At 36.5% G+C, this 27,729-nt stretch overlaps 1 protein-coding gene across 74 annotated transcripts in view; it reads left to right on the forward strand.

The window, feature by feature from the left end:
• Positions 1-27,729, forward strand: part of ARPP21 (cAMP regulated phosphoprotein 21) — a 155,634-nt gene that overhangs the window by 64,402 nt on the left and 63,503 nt on the right. For 16 of the 74 annotated variants that reach the window (NR_169644.1, NM_001385489.1, NM_001385488.1 and 13 more), the window contains 4 exons: positions 3,720-3,828; positions 12,185-12,222; positions 18,351-18,580; positions 26,049-26,282. Coding sequence is in view for 64 of the 74 variants with exons in the window: in NM_001385489.1 (NP_001372418.1) it covers positions 3,720-3,828; positions 12,185-12,222; positions 18,351-18,580; positions 26,049-26,282 (611 nt within the window). In the remaining 10 variants the exon portion in view is untranslated. Of the gene's footprint in view, positions 1-3,719; positions 3,829-4,196; positions 4,288-5,714; positions 5,817-12,184; positions 12,223-14,043; positions 14,104-18,350; positions 18,584-26,048; positions 26,283-27,729 lie in introns of all 74 variants that reach the window. The other 58 variants (XM_011533303.4, XM_011533299.4, XM_017005574.3 and 55 more) reach the window with 22 other exon arrangements.

The raw sequence follows: 27,729 nt of genomic DNA on the forward strand, positions 1-27,729 counted from the left end.
GCTCATCTATTTCAAGCTTCAAGGGGGAAAAAACTAAAACTGGGACTGAATGACTAGAACACAAGAGTTTGATTATCTTCACTCAGCCACACTGTTTGTCAATTCATGAGCTATGCCCAGTGAAGGAACAATGAAGAATTAATTCTGACTTTTCAGAGGTTTGATTGGGGTTGCCAAGAAATTGACCAGAAATGCCAGTGCTCTTCACTATACATGAACAATGAGTTTCACAGTAGTTATGTGCTACAAATTGTGGAAAAACATATTTTTACCTTCAGAAGAAGAAAGTATTTTTCACCTAGAATAAGCATTACATTTATTTTCCATGCTTTTTTGATGATAATATAGAGAAAGATAGAAATAATGCCATATGTACTAAAATCTACCAGAAAAAAAAAAGTTAGGCATGAATGATGCAGGGCTGTAAAATATATAGTGAAGTCTAGTCATCATTGATTTAATAAATACCACCACCTTTTGCAGTTTTGAGAATGTTTTCATCCAATTACATTCACATATTAATACATTAAAAGTTATCCATTATCATTTTAAATAAAGGTCTACAATACATTATTTTAGTTCTATTCATTTTATTGCTTAGAAATAATATTGCTACGGTGGTAAATTAACTTTGAAAGGGAGTTGAGTTTTCAAAGCTATAATATAATGGTACATTACCAGTAATACCAGTAATTTTTAGTTTAATCACTTGCAATACTTCAGGTATATGCCTTAGTTTGCATGAGCTTAAACTGCAAAATTGCTCTTTAGCACTATAATCATAAACAATTCTCTATAAAATCAACCTAGAAAAATTTTATTAGATTCACTTGAATTTTTAAGCAAAATTCAAATAGTTTCTCCATGATCATTCAATATTTCTGGAAAAATACAAAAGGATTAATAATTTGAACTATTAAATTCCAATATTTGAGAAAAACCTAAGGTGTTTGAAATGCAGTTATTAAGGATGCATTTTGCATAATTTGTATTGGGAAATATTTTTGCTCTAAACAATATTTATATTATTAATTAGAATAAGCCTTATGATTACATTTTAGTTATGTTGTAGATGCATTTTTTTCCAAATATATGAAAAACAAATAAATGACTACTACAAAGAAATGGAAATGATATTTTTAAAATAATGTTTAAATAGCTCTTTTAAAGATACAATGACACTTGAAACTTAGAAGTTCCAAAACTAGGAAGGCCACGATTTTCATTCACACTTCCATGTCTTCCCAAGATACTCTCAGATTTAAAACAAACAAAAACATTTGTTTTTGTAACATGTTTAATTTTGGTCAATATAAATTGAAACATAAATCTGATTTTTAAAGATCTCACTAATGCTCTAAATTTGAATTTATACTCCTACTAACCAAATTATCTTCTGATTTATAATTATAGGATTTAAAATTTGATATATTATTGTGACTTTTTTAATCTGTCCCTGAATTATAGTGATTTATGAATAGCCGCGCTAAATGTTCATTTGCTTATACATTGGTTAATTTATTTATTCAGCCAAATGCCTCTCAGGTACCAGGCATGGTTCTAGGCACTAAGACTTAAGTATTTAAAAAAGACAAGGTCTGTACTGACATGAAACTTAAATTCTAATTCTGGTTAGTGCTTTAATGCTTTTCACTTTAATGCTTTTCAACCTAAATAAGTCAATCTATAACAAATTCACTTTATGCTCATGAATCAGAAAGTCCACATTCTGAGATAATTTTATTTGTAAATGAACAATTACAGACTATTACAAACAAATACAAACAAAATTTCTGTAAATTTAGAAGTTAGTAAATCATTTCACTTAACTGGAGTTTATCAGATTACAGAGCCTGGGGATATTAGAAGACACCAAAATAGCATTGATACAATCAACATCTGTATTTAAGTCAGCATCCTAATTTCACTTGCTATGGAAAAAAAAATGTGTAACAACATATAAATATTGGATGAAAATGTTGGAATGCTTAAAAACAATCTGGAGAATTTCTAGTGTTTACAGGGAACTGCAAGTCTACACTGTAATATCTTTACAGTGTAATAAGAAATTGAAGTGTCTTGTGACTATGCTACACTGAAACATGTTTAATTTCTCTACTGTAAATGGCCTTTTCATTGTAAAGTACAGGTTTACTTCTTTAGAATACTAATTTTAATATGTCATATTCGCACTTTCAGGTTTTTGGTTACATTTTAAGTTTGGTGGAAAACATTTACATTGAAAAGTAGGATAATTTGATGGAGGAATTTTGTTCTTTATCTTGAGGTTTGAGGGCCTTCAGCCCACTGTGTACAATATAGAGGAACAAAACTGAGTCTCTGAAAGGATGTGACCAGGCTGTGTGATGCCTGTGGCTTACTGGGCAAATTCATAAACGTGAAATCAAAAGAAGCATGGAGGGATGGTTTCCTTCTCTTTAAAAGAGGCAAAAATTATTTGCTTCTGCACCAAACTTTTATTGTAAGGATCGAATAAGATATTGACACCATGTTCCAAAAATTATACTCAGTTAAAAAAACTCTAACTGATATTATTCCAGTTTTTTGCTATTGTCTGCTCATCAAAATTATTATAATTTATGTACACGTATTTAAGGAAAGAAAAAAATGCTTCTCATCAAGATTTGAATTATACACTTAAACTACTTCTTTATTTTCAAAGTGCTATTTGCTTATTTTGGAGCTCGGAGCAAATGATAAGTTTCTCTTAATTACTGGTCACTCATATTACACAACAGACACTGTGAGTGGCTTCCTAATGACTCAAAGCATAATGAACGCTGTAGGGACAGAAAACCTTCTAGGCTTCAGAAGTAATATATCAGATATGACAGAGACCCTTTAATGAGAGTCATAAATTTTAACTGTCTAAACCAGAAACAAACGTTTTAGCACTTCCTCTGTGGATGAACCCAAGTCCAGATCATTCATTGAGTTCTGTGGTCTGCAATGACAACTGTGAGAAATTAACAAGGAAGTGGAGCCCTTTCCTTTAATAATACCAAATGATTAAAAAGACCTAAAAAAAATCAATTGACTAATCAATAGTGTGTAACTGCTTGAAGCATTTTCCCCATGCTAATCAACCATTAAGTTGTTTAAACTAAATACCTCCATTTTCTCCAATTACTGAACCGATTTACAAGACATGGTCAAGGGTGTCAGAGTCTACTGGAGCCAGATTCCAGAGCTTTCGTTATTGGAGGAGACAGAAAATAATTTTTAAGTGATCCTCTCTCACTACACAGTCTAAAGACTCTTAAAAGGGAAGATGTGATAGAAGATATTCTGCCAGTTCCAGACATTGGTGAATTAATGTGTTACTCTCAAGTTCTAAACATGTATATTTGTTTGAGAATATGGGTAGGAAGTTATTTGAATTTAGGAGTAATAGAGGTCAAAATAACTAAAGAAAACATCTATACAATATATACAGGCAGGCCTTTAAATTTGTTTTTCAATTTCAGCCATGATGAGCAGCATGTAGCAAACAAGACCCCAAATTCAAAACAACAAAAAGTATTCTAACATGTGAAGTGACATATTATTACCTACCTGTATATTGCCAGCAACTCTAGTATGAAAACCACTTGTAAACTTTTAAGTTAAATGACACTGTGGGGGAAGAACAACACTAAAAAATAACTTTAAACAAGGGGGAAAAACTTTTTTATTGATATGTTTTACTTTGCTGGCAGACCAGAGCAAAGGTTTTGTGAACATTTAAAAGATGAAAAAGGTGAAGAATCCCAGAAGCGGTTTATCTTGAAGCGAGATAACTCTAGTATTGATAAAGAAGACAATCAGGTTGGTTCTCAAGTTTGAGAGTGGCTGACATTGTTGTTTTTGAAGGTGGGCTGACTGATGTTCATGTCGTCCCTCTGTTGTCCCTGCCTTCCCTCCAATCCTCCCCTGCCTCTGATACCACTGTCCTATCTCCAACCTCCTTCTCCTCCTTCCCTCCCCCTTTGGCATTCAATGGGTAGCAAAAAAAAATATGTCCTGGTTGCTTTAGCAATGGCTCTGTGTTGGGCTGCATGGGTGGTGCTTGGCGCAGTTTCCGCTGCATGTCTGGGAGGGTCGGGATGCCACAGGCTCCGAGCTGTGGAGAAAAGCTTTGTCAGTCGCATATCCAGATGTCTGTGTAACTATGGCAGTCGTTCCACTCCCTACAGCTTTGTCCTTCAGTTGTGCACAAATTGAGCTGGATTATCAATACGGACCGATGATCAACCGGTGTAGCTGTAAAGAACAAACCTTGTTATGGTGAGGACAGGTGGATTTTGCAACTATCCTAAAATAAGTCTTCAGAGAAAAGAATTGAGTTCATGTTTTAGTCTTTTATCCCCTCTCCTTCCCATGTTTTATGGTCCATGTAAATTGTCTGCTTGTTTTGCATGAAGTGTAGCAGAACTTTATCCTTGTGTATTTTGCTTGTGACAAAACATTATGTTGTTCTAGAGTAGCCTTATTTGTGGTACCCGGACAGGAGCAAAGAGACCTTACTAAATCTCTTCTTTAGATTGGCGGGGGGCTATGGGATCCAGGGTGATTAGAAGAAAGCTAAGTAAATGGCAAAAAAAAAAAATTCCATAAATTTTTAAATGATGATAACAATAGAAAGTCATATAAATGCCATTACAATTATACTTTGTGTCTCTGACAATCAAAATAGACTTTTTTTGAAAATGACTTTGCTTTAGAATTCTTAAAGGTAAGACAATATGCATCTCAAGTTATCATTTTAATCACTCTCGGTGAGTCATTCAGCCAGTATGTGCATCTCTGACGCACTTTTTAAAAACTTGTTCATCATTTGTATCTCGTTTCCTCCCACTGCCACCAAGCTACACCATGGCTCCTGTTGACTATGAAACATGTGCCTGTGTCATGTTTAGTGGGTGTCTGTTGAATGGATGGATGAATGTGGTTAGTGCAGAGCAGTTTGTGAGGAATGGAAAGAATAGATGGAAGGAGACTTAAGATGCAGGAAGTAGTCAGAAAATAGGATAAAGAGCAGTCCTCATGCTGGGTTCTTTGAAGCATTACTTTAGAGTTCTTGGTATTGACTCTTGTCAACAAACAGGTTTTTAAAATTTAGCCTGTAAACCTGAGGTCATTCATTCTATGCTAAATGCAATTCATGGGATCAGTCACTGAATGAATTACACAAATTAGAAGATGAAGAAATAATGTCCACATCTTCCTTTCTGTTAATTACTTTCTTTGCTCACTTGCTTTTTCTCCAGTCCCCAAGCTTTCAAAATGATTTCTTCCCTCAGCTACCTTGAACTAGCCACTTCCTCTTTTTTCACCGGCATTCTGCCTCCTTCTGAGGAGTCAGAACCACACAGGTAAGCAAGACAGACAGAGTCCATCAGTGATGAGCCATCACGTATGTGAATTGGCTGAATACCTGAGGCACAGTGAGGTGCACTCGTTTTGGAAACACCTGTGCTACTTGCATCCAGTGAGGAACCAACCAGCAGCAGTAAACACCTCTCACCATTGCATGTCATGCACACACATGGTACATGCACCCAACACAGCCTCCTCAGGAAACAGAGAGAATGAGATTTTTCAGGCTCCATTTGTTTAAGTGAACATTTATTATTCTTAGCTGACAGTTGCTTAACCACAGATTTCTAACAACGCAACTTGGATAACCCTCCTGATTTCTTTTTTCTGTTCAGCAAAACAGAATGCATCCATTTAGAGATGACAGACGAAGTAAATCAATTGAAGAGAGAGAAGAGGAATATCAGAGAGTGAGGGAGAGAATATTTGCACACGATGTGAGTAGTTGTTTTAATTGCCTCTTTAGTGCGCTCCTTCCAACAGCAGTAAGGCTTCCTCATTCCCCAGACAGCGAGGTGGCAGGGAATAAAAAGGCTGGAGCCAGAGAACAAATCAAACTGAAGAAAACTAGAGGTGATTTTGGAAGAGGATCTGGTTCAGGGAAGTGATAGAAACCTAGCCAAGGGTTTGGGTGTGTTCTTAGGATATGACTGGTGGGGGCATGTAGAGAGGTATGATTTTGGTCAGTGATACAGACCTTAAATACAGAAAGTGTTTGTCAGATTTGAAGAAATGCCTTCACCTCCACATTAGCCAGCAGATTACCTACCTAGTGTTGTTTTCTTTTTAATAACAACATTGTACAGGGTAAAGAATTACAAAGAAGAGAGAATCTGTTTATCTCACACACACATCCATATACAACGAGTATTTTCTGGGTTGTTAGCAAATATGGACATTTCATTATACTAAATTTAGATTATTTTTCTCCTCAATTTCAAATCAAATCTGTGAACAGTTTGTCAAGGGAATAATCATAAAACAAATCCGAACAACAAAAAAAATGGTTGGAATTTTTTATCTTTACCCACTATGGTCAAGATAAAATGCAATTAATTAAACATTAAAAGGTAAAAAAAAGTAGAGGCTGGATTTAAATGCAAGGAAAAGGGCAAGCAACTGCCATAGCGTTTTCATTCCATGCAATCATTTAGCAGCCTCCTCAAATGATGTGGGTTCTTCCCCCTGCGTCAGTAGAAGTGTGAGCTCCTTTGTAAGACTCCGTGGCCAACATGGCAAGCTTTGCTGAGTCTAGTGGAATATCTGATCTCCTGCTGTGATCTGCTTCTGGAGACAACACAAAGCCAGCCCAGAGAAGTAGGCTTCAGTGCTTAGCTTGGAGGAAGACTGCTGTCCTGAAAAGTTTCAGGCCAAAGCCAGTTTCTCTGATCTTCCAGCTGGTCTGGTTCCATTAATATGAAAGTGCAGGGGAGATTCAACCTCCTCCAGCACTGCACTTCTTTCACGTTTATATCCCGCCCCCTACAACCCCCGCCACCTTTCTTGAACACACTGAAATAGAATTTTGAAGATTGGATGATCCAGCTAAGAGCTCTGAAATTAGAAGAGTGTGAGAGAGAGGGAGATGGAAGTTACCATTGTTGGAGGTCTGGATGCAATTTTAGGAGACTCTGCATATGTGTAGGCTACTTAGAATTTTATTATGGTCAGAATTTTAGATAATGCAAAATACAGCCTGACATATGGTGGGCCTTTAATTGTGTTTGGTGGATACAAGAATGAAGTGATGAGATGATCTTTTCCAGTCATAATAAGGATGCCTACAGTGGCCTGGAAAGTAGCATTTTCCTGTCTGAAGACCTTCATAGAGCTTCATAGAGATAATTTTTTTGAAAGTTAATTCATTTTTTGTTCTTATTCTCTCTCTCTTGCTCTCTCTCTCTCTCAAACACACACACACACACACACACACACACACACACACACACACACATTTTCTCTCACACTCTGGTCCTGGCAGGTCAAGTAATTTATGAATGAGTTATGTTGAAAAGAAAATACAAATCACACATAAAATGCACATGCAATATTATGCTGTTTTTAAAGTTGTGTCACATTGTTAGACACTTGACAGCTAGGTGACAAAGTCTGTCACTAATGCCTGTCTGTAATGAAGATGACACCTGTCCTGCTTATTTCATTTGCCAATTCTCATGGACAAAGAGAGGTCACTGGGAGACAGGGTCTGCATGACTTTCTCTATACATTGCATTTCCTTACAACCTTGTTAACGAGATTAACAGCTGGGGATCTGGGTTAAACATTTTAGGCAAGTGTTGCTATTTGAAGCATCTATGCCCACATGCTGTATCAACAGTTTTTAAAAAATAAAAGCACATTTAAATGTGAGAAATCTTAAATGTCAAGCTATTGCCATAGCTTTTTAAATCCATGAAATCATTTGGCAGCCTTCTTTAAAATGCTGTGGCTTCTTCTCTCTGTAGGAATAGAGGTGTGAGCCCCTTTGGTAGCCTCCCTAGTGGCCAGCTCTTCCGGCTTTACTAATTTGAGTGGAGGACCAGCCTGTTTCTAGCATGCTTTTTAACTTGATATCCTAGGGCAGCGTTTTAAATTGGCATCAGGTACCCAGACTATACTCACAGAAGGGCTTGAAGGATTAACTGAAGTCCCAGACATCATTTGCAAATCATGTTCATGAACACGTGTGCATTTTTTAAAGAAATGGTCCCTATTGTATATCATATTCTTACAAGTTTCCATAACCGTTAAAAGGCTAAGACCCTTTCTCTTAGAGGGCAAGAAACACCTAGTGTCTTTCTCTATCTGTATAGCTCTGCTAGAGATATGCAATCATACCACTGGTATTTTCTATGTGTTAGCTATTTGTTGCCTTATAACAAAAAATTCCAAAATTTGGCAGCTGAAAACAAACACTTATCATCTCACAATTTCTGTGGGTCAGGAGTCTGGGAGTAGCTTAACTGGGTGATTCTAGCTCAGAGTCTTACATGAGGTTGCAGTTAAGCTGTCAACTGGGGCTGCAGTCATCTGAAGGCTTGATCAAGTGGTTATCTGCTTTCAAACTCTCTTACATGATTATTGGAAGGCCTCAATTCTTCACTGGCTATAGGCTGGAGATCTCAGTTCCTTACAATGTAGGCTTCTATAGGCTGTTTGGTGTCTTCATGACATGGCAACTAACTTCCCCTGAAGAAAGTGATTTAAGGGAGAAAGAGAGAGAAAGCCCAAGATGGAAGAAGCCACAGTCTTTTATAACCTAATCTTGGATATGATATATCTTCCCAGCTATATTGTCTTGGACACTCAGATCAACATTGGAACAATGTGGAAAGTACCACACAAGGTTGTGAATATCAAAAGGCAGGGATCATTGGGGGTGACCCTGTATAAAGAGGCTATTACTGTATCCTCTATTGACACAAACATAAAGGCAGCACACTTTAGGGGACCCTCATCTAGTACTTCCAGATCCCCAAATGATCATTACTAGTGCCCAAATGGCTGAGGCACAAGATCATTCTTTCATAAGATGATAATTACAGTATATTAAATCAATTAGAGAACAAATGCAAAGAATCCAGCATAAGGAAACTGTGTTACAGAACTCTAATCTTTTTCATAGCTGGTCTTTAGTTTAGTTTCTTCATAATTTGAAAACTGAGCTAACAAAGCGGCTTTCCTTGGCAATTATTATTTAAGCAGTGGAGTGATTTAAATAGGTTCAAATATTGCTTAAGTGTATTTTTTTGCTACTTGAAGTAAAAGTAGAAAGTTCAGAAATACTTCCTGGTATTTACAATTTAGCAAAAGTCAAATTTATTTTAAAATCAGAAACATTCTTGAATATTTTCCAAATATATCTTGGTGTCTAAGGTGTCTGTGTGTGTGTGTGTGTGTGTGTGTGTGTGTGTGTGTGTGTGTGTGTGAAAGAGAGAGAGTGTGTGTGTGTATGTGTTTGTGTGTGCTTTTGTATACAGGCACATAAAATATGTGATTTGCTTTGGGGATTTTCCAGAAAAAAATTCAAATCCACTTTGAGAATTTTGAGATTTTGAGATAAGACAAATTTCTTCATTATTTGAGAACTAAATAGTTGTAAGTCAAAACAACAATTTAGAATTTAGTACCTAAATAATAAATGTATTTTTTGTAGTCAATATATTTGAAATGTAATTCTTTTTTCCTTTGGCAAAACTTTATATTTAGGCTTATTTTATGGTTAATTCTATGCAATGTAACTGACTTTGGGAAGGTTAAATTGATAAAGCAATATACTTGAGAAGGTATGTTTTGCCTGGAGGCTAATTTCTGAAGGATATTTGTGTATAAATAGAGATTCAGTGAAGAGTTCATCTGTGGTCCTCCTAACATGTGCTGGGACTCCTCTTCAGTGGGGATGGGTAATAAGGGCATGTGGTGCCACCAGAGCTGAGGGTGGGATGTGGGAGAGAACTCTATAACCCATTAAGCAAAATCGTTTTTCTTCTTTTGAAAAGAAGCAAGCCTTTTATATCCGAGAATGCATATAAGTGACAGCTTTGAATGTTGCACTTAATTACTGTGACAATTTTATCTTTCTCTGCTATTAAAATTATTAATACTACTTTTTTTAAAAAAAAGTTTATTTTCATCAGCTAGTGAATCACAGCCCATAACTGTATCTATCTTATTTATGAAAATGTAGTTGAGGGGATAATGAGATAATTTTTTAGGAACTTTCCAAAGAAAACAGAAAAATACTTGAGATATTATTGGGTAAGGTATTTTTTTTTTATTTTTTTGAGACAAAGTCCCTGTCACCTAGGTTGGAGTACAGTGGCATGATCTCTGCTCACTGCATCCTCTAGCTCCTGGGCTCAAGTGATTCTCCCACCTACTCTACCAATAGCTGGAACCACAGGTGTGCACCACCATGCCCCGCTAATTTTTGTATTTTTTGTAAAGACAGGGTTTCACCATGTTGCCCACGCTGGTCTTGAACCCCTGAGCTCAGGCGATCTGCCTGCCTTGGCCTCCCAAAGTGCTGGGATTACAAGTGTGAGCCACCACTTTGGCATGGGCAAGGTATCTTTGACTTGCTTGTGTCTTACTTTTTAATACAGAGTTTGGGGTTCTTAACTCTCCCCCAAATGCTATTAGATTGAGTCTAAAGAGGTCACTATGTCCTTAATTAATTCCTTCAGACAAATAGAGTCTCAATAATTCCAATATCCAGACAAAACATTATAAACACAATCAACCACTTTCCAACTATGAGAGCTGAGAAGTAGCAAAGTATGAACTCATAATGTATATCTAAGCTAACCTCGCTTTCTTTTACATACCTTACTTGACTCCAGCCAATAGTAAAACCAAATTAAAGGAAATAAAAGAAGTTAGGACATTTAGTGTACTGTAAAGAGCCCTTCATAGGCATATCAATGGCACATCATTTATGCTTGTTTCCCTTTCATATATAAATGTCAAGTTTTTTAAAAAAGCTATTCTCTGAAAAGCTTTATCTTTTAATTGTCTCTCTTTGCTTTTTCTTAAATGAGGTTTTTGCATACTTGAAATTCAGGATGCATGTTAAGTGCAGCAAGGTTAAAGCATAAACGATTCTAGAGACACCTTCACTGAAATGCTCATAAAACTGAGAGAAACACCATGTCTAAATCTAGCCCATTGGCTTAGTGGAAGGAAATTATTTCTCTAACAAAATGAACATAGAAACCAATATTCTGCCTGCCTCTCAGAAGTGGTTACATTAGCAGGATCTTTTAAGTCAATAATTGGTTATTAAAAGGTTATTATTACTTCTTTAGTTTTATTTTATCTTAAAATTGACCTGTTAAGTCTCTATTTATTCCTGTAACAAGTCATTTATTCATCATTTGGAAAATCTACGTATATAGCAGGATGTGTATTTATTTATGTTTAGAAACTTAAGTACTTTGGAAATGGTTTTGTGTTACTTTCTAAATACAGTCACCCTATTATAGGACCACAGCACCATATCTTGTCTAGACTTCTCTTTTGTATTTGTTTAAATTTAATTTGATCCACCTTTCCTCAGCATGTAATGGTAATGGAATTTTGTCCTCCCTACATTGTGCATAAACACAAGATAGAAGAGAAATGAATGCTCGGTGAATAGAAGCTAAGAAGAAAGTCATTGATTTTCTATGTGAAAAACTGGCATATATTAGATGGAGCTTGATTTTTTTTTTTTAATTAGCGTATTTTCATCCTCACTTGTCTTCTGGCCTTCCCCTCTTACTTAAGATCAATAATTGATGGCATTTCTTCTATTTTGAGAGTCTTTCAGTCAATCTCTTTATTTCATGAGAGTTTATCATCACCAGGTAATAATTTCAGGATTGTGGCTTTATGGCTCTCCCATTCTTAACGTGGATCGCATGGAGTCTGCACGCTCTGCTTTGATTTGAACCCTTTCCCTTGGCTTCTGTTGTTTGGTGGCTGCAGCTCTGCAGCTCCAGAAGAAACCACTAGCTCGGAATCCGACGGCCACACGTTTCTCCAGCTGTTTCATTCACATTTCTCTTCTTCTGACCTCCATGCCGAACAGACTAAATCTAAAACCTGGAGACGTCCTGAAGGAAAAATACCCTATGCTGCATGAGAATTGTTTACTTTTCTAATCCTAACCAACCTTTTTCCTTTTTTATTTCTATCTTTTGTACCTATTTTTCTTAATTCTTTTCCCCTATGAGGGGAAAGTTAGTTTTAAAATCAGGCAAGTATTTGGGATCCCTCAGCATATCCAGAACTTCTGATCCAATGCCTTTTTTTTATTTTTCAGTCAGTTTGCTCCCAGGAAAGCCTTTTTGTGGAAAACAGGTAAAATAAAATTTACTTTTCCATGTCTTTAGAGGAACAACGTCTGTCATGTGTGTCTTGTGTATTCATAAATATATATCCCATATATGTGTGTGCTTGAATATATGTATTAGCAGATACATATATCTATGCGTACACACATATATGTTATTTAACACATCTACAAATGATCTAATTTGGAAAAAAAATTTTCTTTCAGTTAATTCCAAACAGAATTGTAAAACTTTTTCTTATTTAAAGTCTCAATTTCTGGTCCTTGCAAAGGTATACTTCCTATTACCTTCACCAGGCATTAAGAATAATAAATATGGAGACATCACAGGAACTTGCAGTTTCATTGGCTTATTTAGTAGTCTGCTAGAGGCATGCATATATTTGGTATTATTGGCCACTTCCTGTGCCCCATAACAATATATAGCTATACAAGTAACAATTGGAATAATATTTTCAGTTTTTTTATTCTAAACAATCTATTTTTCTTCATAAAAGACTTGACCTTGAAAATCTTATCTAAACTGGCCTAGATTTAGCAGTGTACCTGGCATAGGAGTTAGTAGGGGGAGGTAGTTGTTGTAAAATAAATGGGTTATAAAATTTAAAGAAAATCTTGGTGATAAGAGCAAAAATTTTTCAAACTTAATATATACCCTTCAAAAATCATTCTAAATTGACATATATATTAAAATGCCCCATTGATTTAATTGCGGATACTCAGGGCAAATTAAGGAATCCAAATTAACTGCACTAATCACATTTAAGAGGCATCAAAATGAGCAACTTGATTTGAAAATGTGGTATCTATAAATAAAGTGGTGGTTAATTTTATTTCAGGGTTTTGCTTAATGTGTATTCCTATACCATTGATTAAAATGAAGACTGTTTGATTAAATGCCAGTACTCAGAGAAATTTAAACTGGACATTAAAGATGATTGGCTTAAAAAATTCCATCATTCATATTTGCAGTTGGAAATCTTCAAGTAACGTGACTAAACCCCTTAATAGAATAACCTCTTCAGAAGAAGAGATAAAATTGAGAAACACATAAAAGGGATTCACAGAAAACTTCAAAGTCCATATATATTTAGACAAATATTCCCTATTTACAGTAAAATCAGTAATCCATAAGCATTGACATCTTGCAGGTGATTTCTAAAGGATTCCAAAAATACTCTATCTTTGCCAGAAAGATTAAGTGAGCATTCACAATTCAGATTCATGGGAAACCTTATTCTCTCGTCTTCTAGCCAATGATTTTCCCTATCTTCCTCCCTAATCTTATCCATTTACACTTGAGTGTCCCTTATATTATGTTGGATTATATCCCACATTACAATAATTGGTCACATATATATGTATTGCCTTCTCTTTAGGTTAACAGGTCTTGATGGTCCTGGAAACCAAAAATCTAAGTGACTTACCACCAAAAATAAATACATTTCTTGGATATGTGCCTCTGGAATGCCAATATTTCATTATGCCAAAATATGAAGAATAGTTTTAATATATTACTCTAAAAAATCACTACTAATGTATTTAATTAAATCTCTATTATACCTATATCAATCTCTTTTCTCCTCTTCTATTCCCTCTGCTTCCTCTTTCCTTCTTTTCTCCTTACCTAGCATCGGTGTCTTAATCCTAGGGTAGAGATCTTAATCCTATCCTATGGGCATTAATTTATTATGGCAAAATTCAACATCATATAAATAAAACTTTGTATGGGATTGATTTGTGCTGTAGTAGAGTACACATCCATGTAAACACAAGGCATTTAGTACCCTTAGGTTTTATATCATAAAAATCATGTTTTTCATTTCCAGTAGGCTCTTGGAAGACAGTAACATATGCAATGAGACCTATAAGAAAAGACAGCTCTTTCGGTTGGTATGGTTTACTTTCTTAAACTGTGTTTTTTTCAAATTATGTGGTAGAATCAATGTTAAATATTAGTGTACTCGTGTAAAATATATCTGTTCATTTAAAAAAGTCTGGTTATCTCTTTGTAAAGCTTGTTAAATAGCTAGCGTGGAAGTCATATTGGGTAGTATGAGATATGAGACTGGAAATCTATCACTTCGTCTACAATTCGTTAGGGTTCTTCTGGTTTTCTGCTTTTTGGGGGCTAACTTTGGTAGCACACTGTTTTGATTTTCCCAAATTAACTTTAGTAAATTACACTGAGTTAAATTTTCACTGACAGATTGCAATTGTACATACATTCTCAACACTGGAAAATAAATCAATGATAGCCCTACTTGGGCAACTAATTTTTAATTTTATCTGTTATATTATTTCAAACAGTGTGTTTTCAAGGGTGAATTTTATTTCTGAAGAAAGATATGAGGTTCCTTTCAATTAAAATGAAATACTTAAATTAAAATCTGTGTAGGATAAGGGGATAGGATGATAATTTTTTTAAAGTTCTATACTAGACTAGAAGCTCTATGAAAGCAGAGCGACCATACCCATTTTCTCACTGCTCTATTCAATGTATATCTGACATCCATTGTAGAGAAAAGTGTACACAGTACTATAAGTATACTCAGTATCCAATACATATATTTAATGTGTTAATGTGTTTATGAGTGTTAGGATTTACCTCCGTTGCAGGAATTACTACAAGAACAACAACAAAACTCTTATCCACTTAAAAGAAAGAAAATACTAAGAAAATCAGATGAATTGAATGTTGAGAAAGTACATTTTCTGCAATAATTCTGGACTTTAGAACTCATTATGAGTAAAATTAATTTGTTATCTTACACTTTGATTGAAACAAAAAACAGAAGCTTCTTTTTGGACTTCTTTCACTTTTCTAGATTGAACTATTAAGTTTATTATGAAGTCTTCCTTATGTATCATTAGACAATTAATTTTCTTTTCCACACTTGAAGATTTAAGAAAATAACTTTGCACTTCTTTTGAAAACTCAGAGAAAAGCTAAAATTTACCATTAGTCCTGCGCTCACACACTGTGACCTAGTTTGTTTAGGGTGATATAGATAAAACATGGGTTCTTGTCCCCTAAAGGCCAGTTAGTTTTACATAATCCCAAATCTGTCCCCAAGCCAGAGCTACCATATACTCAGGTTAGCCATCTCAAATATGGATTTCATCACCCACCCAAATAACCAAGCACAGAAACTCAGAAGGGTAACTTAGCACAAAGCCATTCACACAATTGTAAAAGCAATTCAAGATGTAGATCATCCCTAGCCCGTGCAAAAAAGATGCATTTAGACATAAAGGAAAATAAATATTTTCAGTTATGTTAATCAGCACAGAAGCAGAGCTTAAAATATATGCCTTTGTAACTACCTTGGAATGAAATTCTAGTTACTTACAAGAGGGCCCAGCTCCAATGACAGATATCTCATTACTATCATCTTCCTGGATTCCAGTAGGTGATTCCAGTAGGAGAGTAACCTGTGCAAAAAAAAAAAAAAATGCATATAGACATAAAGGAAAATAAATATTTTCAATTATGTTAATCAGCACAGAAACAGAGCTTAAAATATATGCTTTATAACTACCTTGGAATGAAATTCTAGTTACTTACAAGAGGGCAAGCTCCAATGACCAGATATCCCATTGCTATCATCTTCCTGGATTCCAGTAGGGGAGGAACAAGACTGGGCTTAGGAGAGAAGGGAAGACACCTGTGCATGTGGTTTTCTACAATGCCTATGATCCCACACCCAAACAGATTTGGAATTCAATACTGGACCGCACTTCAACACTGTTAAGATGATAGTGCAATATAAAATAGAGGAGTACAAAATATATTTTAATGTATAAATACCTAGGAATCATAAATTAGAGTTACACATTATTTTTGAATCTCATTAATGCTAACTCCCTAAAGCGGCAACTTAAATTTTCTTTTTTAAATGTACAGATTATGGCTTAGGACAGTGATCTGAGCTAGTGAGGTAGAGGTAGAGAAGTTAAAGAAATCTTAGGTTGCCTTATTGAGCAGGTGATGTGACATAAGTCTAAAGGAACTTCTTACAGCTCTAAAACTAGCTCTACCAGGGAGAAGGGTGTAGACTACAACACACTAAATTGCACCCAGAAATAGTGGTGGCCACCTTCTTTACCTAAAAGGCACAGTCACACTGGCTTTTACAGAAAGTCTGGATTCCTGCCATGGAGGTGCAGAGTTCATGGCTAAAGAGATTATTGAAGCAGAATTAGTAATGGGAACAAGGGATCACCCCCATATGGAGAGCATCCATCTCATGCATCCTGTACTCTGAGGCTAAGCACCACTCCCAAATCATCAAGCCAATGTTTTTCTATAATAAATATTTCAAATTAGCTGCAAATGAGATTATTGTCATATTTCTGGTGCATTCACAGTTGCTAAACAATGATTTTGCTAGACTTTGTAAAACATAGTTTAACATACTCATGATTATATGGGAGAAGAATGAAGTTGAATTTGGAGATTTAAAGAGAAGACAATCAGAAATGGAATAGCAAGCCCTTGAAAAGGCTATTTATTTCTCCGCTCTATCTCCCAAGGCTTTCTTGAATGTCAAAGGAGTTTAAGAGGTAAAGCCACCTGGTCATTGGTGAAGGTCTGGCATTCATACCTACAACTTGGTTTTCATCAAGTGGTTCTTATTTCTAAAACCAGCCATCCGTGTGGTACTGAGAACAGAGAGAATGTAAAATATTAATAGAGGATGGAGGGCACTGAGTATTTTCATCTAATCTTTCACTCGAAAGCGCTTTTTGTTTTGTGAATATTCTGTACCCCTTCCTCCCTTTGCTTTACAAAGTTCCTGTCACAAATCAGTTATTTCATTTTTATTTCTTGGATCCATTTATCTTCTTATGTTTGGCTGAAATAAAAGAAAAAGTTTAGTGAGTAAAGTTAAAGCAACACTTAAAATTTTCTTTGTACTGTCTGTACAATTTTGTCGGTGAGTATTTCAATCACATAGTGCACTTCAAACATCTCAACAGTACATTATTGTCTTTAAAATATTTTTCAATGAAGCTACCAATCACATCTGTGAGATTTGAATCAAGGCTTAAATATGTCTCATTGTTAATATGAGTTAGGTGTTATATTTACTGACCAAGATTTATATTCCCTTTACTTATTTATAATCCATTAAACCTTAAGGTATTTTACGGATGCATTATTTTTATCTTCAGAAAAAGCTTTGAATTTATTAACAAAGTTATGCTTTAGACAGATTGGAAACCAATGAAAATGCAAATTTCGTCAAATTTCTCTATAAAACACATGCAATTTTGCATATTTCTTAGAGATACTCTACAGTCTTCAAACTTCACTTCTGGCTATTGGATCTCTTCCAATACATTTACTCTTTTTTCTATTTGAAGTTTGAACAAATGTGTTCTTTCACCTGAGGAGCTTTTTTTGTTATTTCCATTGTTCCCCTTGGAAAGTTTTGTGTCAGTGTATAGTGTTTACACTGTTGTTATTTTCAAAAGTTTTTCTACGTGAAAATAATTAAAGGGTTCTTTCCTCTGACCATGAAGGTTAAACTCAGTGGGCAAAATTCTTACCATAGGTTAATAGAGTAATTTCTGTGATTTCTATCCTATCTGTCAAAGCCTTGGTGATTTCAGATGTGTATCTCATAAAGCTGGAACATGAATTAACAGCTTCTCTGGATCTATGTGCATTTTTCCATTGACAATTATTTTGTGCTAAAGAGAGAGAAAAAGTCTTCTTTGGTGGGAGTTACTTTTAGAATCATTTAAGATCACAATTACTTCTGAACATTAATTAATTATTGATTTGAGTCAGGAGAAGTTATCCCCCTATTCTATTTGCAAGAGAAATTAACAATTACATTTTATGACATGTCTTTCTAGTTGTTTCTCCTTCACCGACAGAGGGATCATGTAACATTTCTAGGTTTGGTTTTTCTGTTTGTAACCTATGTGTTATATGTGATGTGTCATCTGTCTATACATCATCAAAGTATTTGTAACACTGGGAGGCAACTGGTTTAATGAAAAGGGTTGGCAGGAAGGGTCTTGTGTGGATCACCTTCCAAGAAAAGCCTTGCTCTGTGCCTACCAACACCATGCATGTAAGGTAATCCTGTCCCTGTGCATCTTTCTGGTGGTCGTACTCCAGGGGCAACAGAGATGGCTCAGGGAGAACATCTGGGAGTCGACAGAGCAGCTCAGAAAATGAACTCAAGTGGTCTGACCACCAAAGGGCCTGGAGCAGCACAGACTCCGACAGTTCCAACCGCAATCTAAAGCCCGCCATGACCAAGACGGCGAGTTTTGGGGGCATCACGGTGCTGACCAGGGGTGACAGCACTTCCAGTACTAGGAGTACCGGGAAGCTGTCCAAAGCAGGTAGTTAGTACTGAATGTGTTTATGTCCTGTGGTATTTTTTGGATTCTACCCAAGCCATATGGTCACCATTCCCTCTGACTTTCAGTTGACTGATAATGATGATATTAATCACAGGGATAGCTGGAAATCAGAAGGTACAATTTAAATAGGTTACTGACTCTTTCCAGTTATGTGCCTAGGTCAAGTTACTAACCTCTCCAAGTTTCAGTTTTCTTATCTATAAAATGTAGGTTATATAATGTTATTCAAACCCATCTCAGTAGACTTAGTGTTTATGTATTTAATTTAAGCACTTAAGTTTACTTATTTAAGTTTACTCAGTAAACTGAAGTTTAAATTGCATTATTTATATAAAAATGATTACCATGGCACCTGCATTACAGTAACTACCTAGCAAAAGTTTGCTGTTCCTTTTAAATTTAGTAATATGAATTATTCCTTAAAAACACGCCGTAGGATAATTATAATATTAATAGCTTTCGTTCTTGCATTGGAATGCTGTTAGTACGATCCTGGACCTGGTTTTTAACCATTCTGTGCCTCTGTTTTCTTCATCTGATAAATAGAAATAATAATAGTACCTATATTGTAGAAATATTATGAAGACTGAAAGAGTCAGTATACACAAAGCAACTTGAATAATGTCTGTCAAGTTATAAACCCCCAATAAACTCTAGTTATTATTCATTTTTATTACTGCCATTTAATGTTTGCACCCCTGCTTTGCAGATAAGACAGGTGAGTGTCAGAGAGGTTTAGAGTTTCCAAGTTACCAGGTGCTTGTATGTTTTTTTCCAAGTGAAGCAAATAACGATATTCTGAGGTAGGTAGTTCAAGTTTGCATGAACAGTCTTTGGAAGGTGAGTGATAATGAGAGATCTAGGAGAGCCATTAACTTGAAACAACTTTAAACTGATGGAAGCATACACCACGATGCTCACATGAGTCTGCAAAATGCCCTCATGGTCGGCCATTTCTAGCTCTTCTGTCTCCCAAAGATTATTCACTATTGTTTTTGATTATTTTCAAATGTTCACAATTAAAATACCTCCTAAAATCTCAGGAAGGTGACAAATGACCATTCAGTAGCACTCCATGAACTGAAGTTTGTGATTTTAGTATGTAATTGTTTTTGCTTTGTTTTGGTTCTGCCTTAGAAAATCAAATTCCCTGACACTCTCTTGGTTTGGGTGGGGAGGTGGTTGGGAGTTGTGATTCTGTTGTATGCTCTGGGTGTCAGATTGTATGGGTGGAGCATTCAGGCTCCTGAAGTGACAGGTGAGTGGGAGGCCAAGGCAGGAGTGGGATGAAGAATGGAGAACCCCAGTTAGAGTTTAGACATGGGCTGCCCTGGACTGTGGATATTTTCCCAATCACCCTTTACACTGATGTTAGGGCCAAGGGGTTCCCCACCTCCATGCAAAATCTGGGTTCATTTGCTAATGGTTTAACATAATTAGGTTGTTGACAAATTCCTTCTAAAAATTATCTCATGTTTTCCTATATTAGGAGAAAATTAATAGCATTTAGTTACAGTCACTACATAATACACACACCCTGATTCTTGGAAAGATTCAGATGGGTTCACACTGCCTTTCTGCAATTTTTATTCACTAATTGGTGAGTTCTTGATTTCTTACTCTAATTAATTGCTCTCATATTCCACTATTGTAGCAACTGAAGTAAAGAAAATCCACTGTAGTACACTTGAGCTCTTGTAAACTAAGATAGGTTTAATAGTTTTAAATCTCCTTAAAATGTGAAAACCAAGTACTTTAAATGGTGCACTTAAAAATTCCAGCACACCAAAAGAGCTCTTAAGATTTTTAAATTAATAGTCATTCTTCATGCACCAACCCCCAATCACTTCCAAAGCAAAGCTCTTTGGAAACATTTAAAACACTTCAAAAATGTTAAAATGCCATGTTCTTTGAAGAATGATTAGAGATTGTAAGTGCTTCAGAATTTTTTTTCTTTTAATCTAAGTGTCTCCATTTGAAAGCTTGTCAAAGTGCAGGCATGGGAAGGGAATAAAAACTTAAAGAAGATCAAGGTAGGATGTCAAAACAAACTTACAGTTTCCCAAGATGGATTTATGAAGCAAAGCTGTCAGTCTGGCTGTCATGGAGCTTCAGAACAGCACAAGTTTTCAGTTTTTTACCTAATTGTTCACAGTGGAATTGCAAACTTTTTTATGACCTTTCAGAAACCAAGTCTGGAGTTGTGACATTTAAGTTACTCTTCTCCTCCTCTAATTACATAGATTCTAGCTTTAAATAGATAATAATGAGACTTTTTCCACATTGGAAACACATTTTCCTACGTTTTGGAAGGAAGCATATTACTGAAGTATGAATGTACAAGCACATTCTCTTGAGGCCTGGGCTGCCTACCAGATGCCCAACACACATTTCTGGAGGCAGATGATGCGATTGTATCCTCCTTACCGAAAGCACTTGAATGACACCTGTGCGGCAACCTCAGCTGTTTCTTGTTAATAGCAATGTGGTTGAGAAATAAGAGTATGACATCTGTTTCTTACCACATTGGCCTAGCTATACTGTCACTATTGTTCCCCCATCTTGATCTTCAAAGCAGGGTTTCTGAACTTTAGCTCCATCAGAATCACCCAAAGGACTGGTTAAATCCCAGATTGCAACACCCACCCCCAGAGTTTCTGAGCCCATAGGTCTGGGATGGGGCCTGAGAATTTGCATTTCTGACAAGTTCCCAGTTGATGCCAATGCTCCTTGCCTGGGAACCACACTTCAAAAACAACTGCTCTGGAGAAATAAAATGTACTTTTGTTTTGTTATAATAATTTTAGGTGGTCTGGCTTGATGTTTTCTGGATGCAAGGCTATTCCTGCTATTGTCACATTCCTTGCCTACATCCTGGAGTGTTTTTTGATCCAATGCAAGACACCCCATGTTTCTACCACTTCCTCTTCTTTGTCTTTATTTTTATTACTGCACTAACACATCGTGGATATTCTCTTCCTTCTTGTAATTTTGGAAGCTTTAGGTTATTCTACTGAACACTGACCCCCTGAATCTGGAAATATTTTCTTGAATTATATAATTCAGAAATAAAACCTTTATGATTTGTGGTCCTTGTAAAAGAAAAATTGCACCAGATGGTACAGGCAAAAGAGAATGTATTCATTATTATTGCAACAGGGATCAAGACTATGATCTCTCTTTTTAGAGAGAGAACTGAGCTCCACTGAATCGAAAAGCAGGAGACTCTTCAAGCACTGGGGTGAGCTAGTGGCAAAATTTTGGAGGACATTATAGAGGAAATTGGGTGATGTGATTAGGCTCCATGTGCTTGCTAATTGGTGCTGTGGAAGTTAGGCTCCTATCCTCCCACAGAAATTGAGAGATAGGGGCTCTATTTTTCATGATGATTAGATTTCAAAGGGATGGCTCCCAGGTACCTAAGAAAGAGCTTCCTGGATTGTAAAAGTGGCAAGAGGCTAGGAGATTTACATCTCAAAGGAGCATAAATGTTCTAAGTATAGGGAGGTGAGGAGCCTCTAGTCTGGAAGAAACCAGTGAAAAGTTTGGTCAAGCTGAGGGGAACATTAAGGTCATCTTCCTTACCATTGCTCACCATTTAGTCTGGTACCTTATATTTTACAAAAGGGTATGTTGAGGTCTAAAGTAGTCACTTCCTGAAGAAAACACAGCTAGTAAGTGGCAGAACCAGAATTAAAACCCAGTATCCTTCCTCCTTGGGAAGTATCCTTCCTCCCTGGGAATGTTCCCTCTGCTCCAAGGGAATCTGCCTATGTCCTTCCCCTTCTGCCCTGTCCTTTCCTGGCTTTTCATTTTGTTTTGACTTGTGATCTCTTTTTCTATCTTTTGTCATGTTTCCCATTTTCTTTTTTCTGCTTTTCTCTTGAGGGTTCACCTGAGTCCCTCACCTAGCCACTTGGATGTCTTCTTTTTTCTCCTCCCTGTGGCTACCCCCTAGGGTTCAGCTTCAGTTTCTGAGCTTTCCACTGTGAGTAGCATGGAATTTTAATCTAGTATCTCCTAGAACTTGGCACAGGCTTGGTCAGGGCCCTGGCCCCCGTCTGTGCCTTGCTTAAATGATAAGAAGATGAACATGACCTACAGGCTTAGAGAGCCATCTGTGGAGTCAAGTTGCCTGGGTTTGAGCTTGGATTCTGCCACAAACTGAGCTTTGGGAAATTTAACATATCTGAAGATCAGTTCTCATCTTCAAAATGAGGCTGCTGTAAAAGTTAGATTAGACAATTCTTATAGAGAAACTAGCACAGTGATTGTCACATATGCATACTGTATAAATATTTGTCATGGTTATCATTAAACCTCTGAAGAAAGGGAATCAGAAATACTTTTAACTCTCAGCCATTCTAAATCTCAAAAGTTCTCAAATATCAATTTCATTTTTTAAAAAATCTTTGAACACTTCCAGTCCCTTGCCTTTTAGTAGCATTTGTGTTTTATCACAAACTTTAGCAACACTGGCTGTGTGTGGAATATGGCTCTCCCTGGCCTTGGTGATTGATGTTTACATGCTGGTCAAAGCCAGTCAGAAGGGCCAGTTAGTAAATCCTGGCCATATGTTGATTGCTGAGCCATCCTTTTGAAGAGGTTTGACTTTATTTTCATCTTTGCATGTGCAGAGAATTTAAGCCAAATTTAGGTTTCCTTCCTTCCTTTAACCTGTGGAATCAAATCATTTACATTGTCTTCTCATTTCTCCTATTGATGCTGCTTTTTTTTTCCCTCAGGTAAGGGAAGGGTATAATGTTGTAAATCAGTGATTAATGGCCATCCTTCTAAAACCAAAATTAAATTACTCTTTGGATTGGATTGTGACACTTCAGTCTGTCTGCATCAACCCATCCCTCCTAACACACACACTCATGCCATCACTGGCTTATAGCTCAAATCTGAGTTAGGACGTGCTCCCTTGGCCCCAACTCTTTTTCAGTGCCTAGCCCCTCAGTCTGGAGATGAGCTGAATCATGTTTGCATAACATTAAATACCTTGGTACAGGAGGTTTTGTTGTTGAATTGTTTACATTGTTGCTGTTGACTCTAGTGTCAAATGTGTAACGTAGCATCAAATTATACACAGCAGGTCCATAAACACACACTACAGTCTGCATTGGGAATATGACCACAGAGTCATAATTTCAGTGATATAGTCTCAAAACTATTATTAGCATTTTCAATATTCTTTTTACATTTTTTATTTTTTCTCCCCATGCCTTATTCGTAGCCCCATGAGCATTCTAAACCACTTAGATGGAGCATCCTGAATTGACATAAAACTATCACTATTAATAATCAAGTCATGGGGAAAGCAAGAGAAGATGCCCAACTGAGAACACTTGTGACAGGCCATGGTATATGCATACGTACAATTTCAAGTGGCAATGTGGGGTCGTGATTAAAGCTTGAGCTATAGATCAGTCTGCACAGACCAAATTCCAGCTCTGCCATTATCTAGCTATATCTAGCTGACCTGAATTACCTAACTTCCTTTTACTTCAGTTTTCCTATCTGTAGAGGCAGTATTAGTCATCATTTAAGTGTTTATTCAAGTGCTTACGCATACTAAGTTGTCAATAAATATTATCATTCTTCTAAAGATTATCATGCTCTCCAATTGCCCCTCTTCTCTGCACTTACATGTTATGTTCCTATCACTTATTTTAAAAGAACTCCAGTTTAATTTAAGGGCATATTGTAGAATCTTGAAAAGAGTGTTAGTGATGGATTATATATTTTGACTTTAATAATACATAAGAATGCATTTTTAATAACATAATCAATAGTGTAGGCTGATGATTTAATCAACCTCGTGTACTACATTCTTGCAACCTGTGATATTACACAAGTAATCTATTAGTTTGAATTTGCAGTAATATAAATTTTACTTAGTGTGTTTTCTCTTGGCTTCTCTGGTTAATACCTAGTACCCAGAAGAGCTGTGGTTAAGGGTACTGGGGTTGCTTGTCTCTTGCTGTAGTGAAATGCCAGTGAGTGCCCAATGGATATATTGGGATATGTTTCTATTTTTATCCATAAATGGTGGGACAGAAGAGATTGTTAGATTCACCTTAGGGGCTTCTGCACACTGTTCCTGTTACCTGTGTGTTTGAAAAATTCAGAATCCATAAACATCACGATTATTTTACTATTCTGTGTCATTTAAAGGATACTCAGTCATTATAAGGCCAAGCCCTCTTTGGTCCACCTCTTAGCTATATTGATAAGACTTCTTCAAATATGTAAAATTCAATGCAGTACCATAAACACTTAAATATATTACATTAATAATAATAATAATAATAATAATAATAATAATAATGCCCACCATCTATTTGATTCCTTGCCTTTTTTTTTTTTTTTTTTTTTTTGACGGAGTCTGACTCTGTCGCCCAGGCTGGAGTGCAGTGGTGCAATCTCGGCTCACTGCAACCTCCACCTCCCAGGTTCAAGCGATTCTCCTGCGTCAGCCTCCTGAGTAGATGGGACTACAGGCACGTGCCACCACGCCCAGCTAATTTTCTGTATTTTTAGTAGAGATGGGGTTTCACCATATTGGCCAGGCTGGTCTCAATCTCCTGACCTTGTGATCCACCTGCCTTGGCCTCCCAAAGTGCTGGGATTACAGGCGTGAACCACTGTGCCCAGCCCATCCTTTTTTTTTTTTTTTTAAATCCTTAATATCTAAAGTTTCAACTTTACACACAAAAATAATAACATTCAATGGTTTAAAGTTGCCTCTGGTCAGATGGTTAGAAAAAGTCAGTGTCCTGATTCATCTTTGTCTCCCTGACACTCAATCACATTCTGCTAAACCATGCCACTCCTTAAAAGGGATCCTATTTGATTTTGAAATGTGTTTGCTCATATACACTATGATCCCAGGTCTTCTACTCACACATGAAGGTAAAAGATTATTTATGACTAGGCCCCTTCAGACTTCAGCTGTATAGGTGTCGGAGAACCAGTACTTCAGAACCATGCACATGAACTTCACATCATAGGGCTCTTCCTTAAGCTGCAGTCTCTTTAACCACAATCCCTGTCATTTTATTCATATTTTTCAGCTTAGTAAGACATTTCCATGGTACTAACTACTTGGGGATATAGGAGGGATTTTTCAGGTACTGAGTTCAGAGCTTTAGGGTACCCTTTACCAGTTTATCACCCTAGTAGTTTGTGAAAAGGCTGAGAGAAAGTTCTCATTCTTAATTCCTCTTTTCCCAGAAAATTGACACACTTGAAAAATAAGTAGCAAATATTTCAATAAAATATGAGGCCAAAATATGAGAGGGGCATTAGTTAATCTCATCCTACAGCATGCGTCTCAAATTCTTTAATGATGTGTCGCAGAAAAGTGAGCATTTAGACTCAGATTGGTGCTTTCTCTCATCTCTGTGTGTTCAATGATTTGTTGATTGTATCCCTATGCCAGGTTCCGAGTCTTCCAGCAGTGCAGGCTCCTCAGGATCGCTGTCCCGCACCCATCCACCTCTCCAGAGCACACCCCTAGTCTCAGGTGTGGCAGCTGGCTCTCCAGGCTGTGTGCCTTATCCAGAGAATGGAATAGGGGGCCAGGTTGCTCCCAGCAGCACCAGCTACATCCTCCTTCCACTTGAAGCTGCAACAGGCATCCCGCCTGGAAGCATCCTTCTTAATCCACACACAGGTGAGTTACTACCTGCTTTATCAGGGACACAAGGCTTTCAGATGTTTGTTCTTATGTTTGATCTTATGAATTTGCTAGCAAGTATTCTGAAAATTCCTGAACAGGAAAGCTAGTTGCATGAACTGTTATGAAGCATTTTTGTTTAGAAAGAGCAGATTTACAGCAGTATCTATAACTCTATATTTATATCTTCATATCAATATCTATATTGATGTATAGATATAGATATTTCCAGAAGCATCCACTTTTCTGTCTTTTTTCTTTTACTATGGTGTCTCTCATGCATGCTTAAGAGCTAAGACGAGAGAAAATGGTGTGATGAGTTGGGATATACTAATTAAAACTTTGTGTTTGTCAATCTAAATCCCCAGTTAGCTTGTATTATGTCAAAAGTGTTTTTGCATCCAAGGATCTTTCTGGAATTGAAGTATCAGTTGAGACATATAGTGACCATTAACTCTAGAAGTTGCTTTTTAACCTTAGAATTTCAGCCAGCTCCTATGAAAGGAATAAGAAACAGCAGTGGCGAAGAGAATACAGAGAGAAAATTATTATGTATTTTAGAAATGTCAGGCTTAGACTGATTTTGGTGGGGTTTAGAAAATTGTTCATTTTATGATTACGGTTTCTTCTGTGATGAATGGCCATTGGTTCTTTAATTTTGCATTTTTCTAGTGGGTCAGTTGACTTCCACATTGATTTCAAAAGACTGAGGGCACTGAGATTCTAACATCAGCCAATGAACTCAGGAACATCTGCCAATTTGCAGGGGAAACTTCTCAACCCGGGGCATTTTTGTCTCTGGCCCCAAGGCCATTCCGCAATATCTGGAGACATTTTGATTATTATGACCTGGGGAGAAGAGGGCTGCTATTGACACCCAGTAGGTAGAGTACAGAAATGCTGCTAAACATCCCCCAAGGCCTAGGACAGACTTCCACAGCAGAAGATTATCCGGAACAAAATGTTGGTGGTACCATGGTTGAGAATCCCCGGCTTAGAAAGCTTGACATTGACTAGTCACTTCTTAAGATGTCTTTATTAGAGACTGGCAATAAATGGAGTTGTCTTGAAAGAGATCTGAAGTTTGGTTTCGATCCTTCCAGACTATTTCTTCAATTAGCTAAACTCAAAAATGCAAAACTGGATAAGTATCTCATAAAAATTATCTGACTCAATCTTCTCACAAATGTAATGCTACTAGTAATTAGGAAATTCAGAGAAATATGAGAACTGTAGTAAAATAGTTACTTGAATAATTGCCACATTTTCATAAAACATATGGCACATTCCCAAGTCATGGTGTTTGATTGAGACATATTGAAAATGCCATAAGCTTGAGGGAAGAAAGGCATAATCATTTTATTGAAAACCGTTTGAAAGCTTCAGATTAGATATTTCTAAGGAGGATTTTTAGATTGCTTTTATTTTATCTGGATTATTGTAA

This window comes from Homo sapiens, chromosome 3, assembly GCF_000001405.40.
Source record: "Homo sapiens chromosome 3, GRCh38.p14 Primary Assembly".
NCBI lineage: Eukaryota > Metazoa > Chordata > Mammalia > Primates > Hominidae > Homo > Homo sapiens.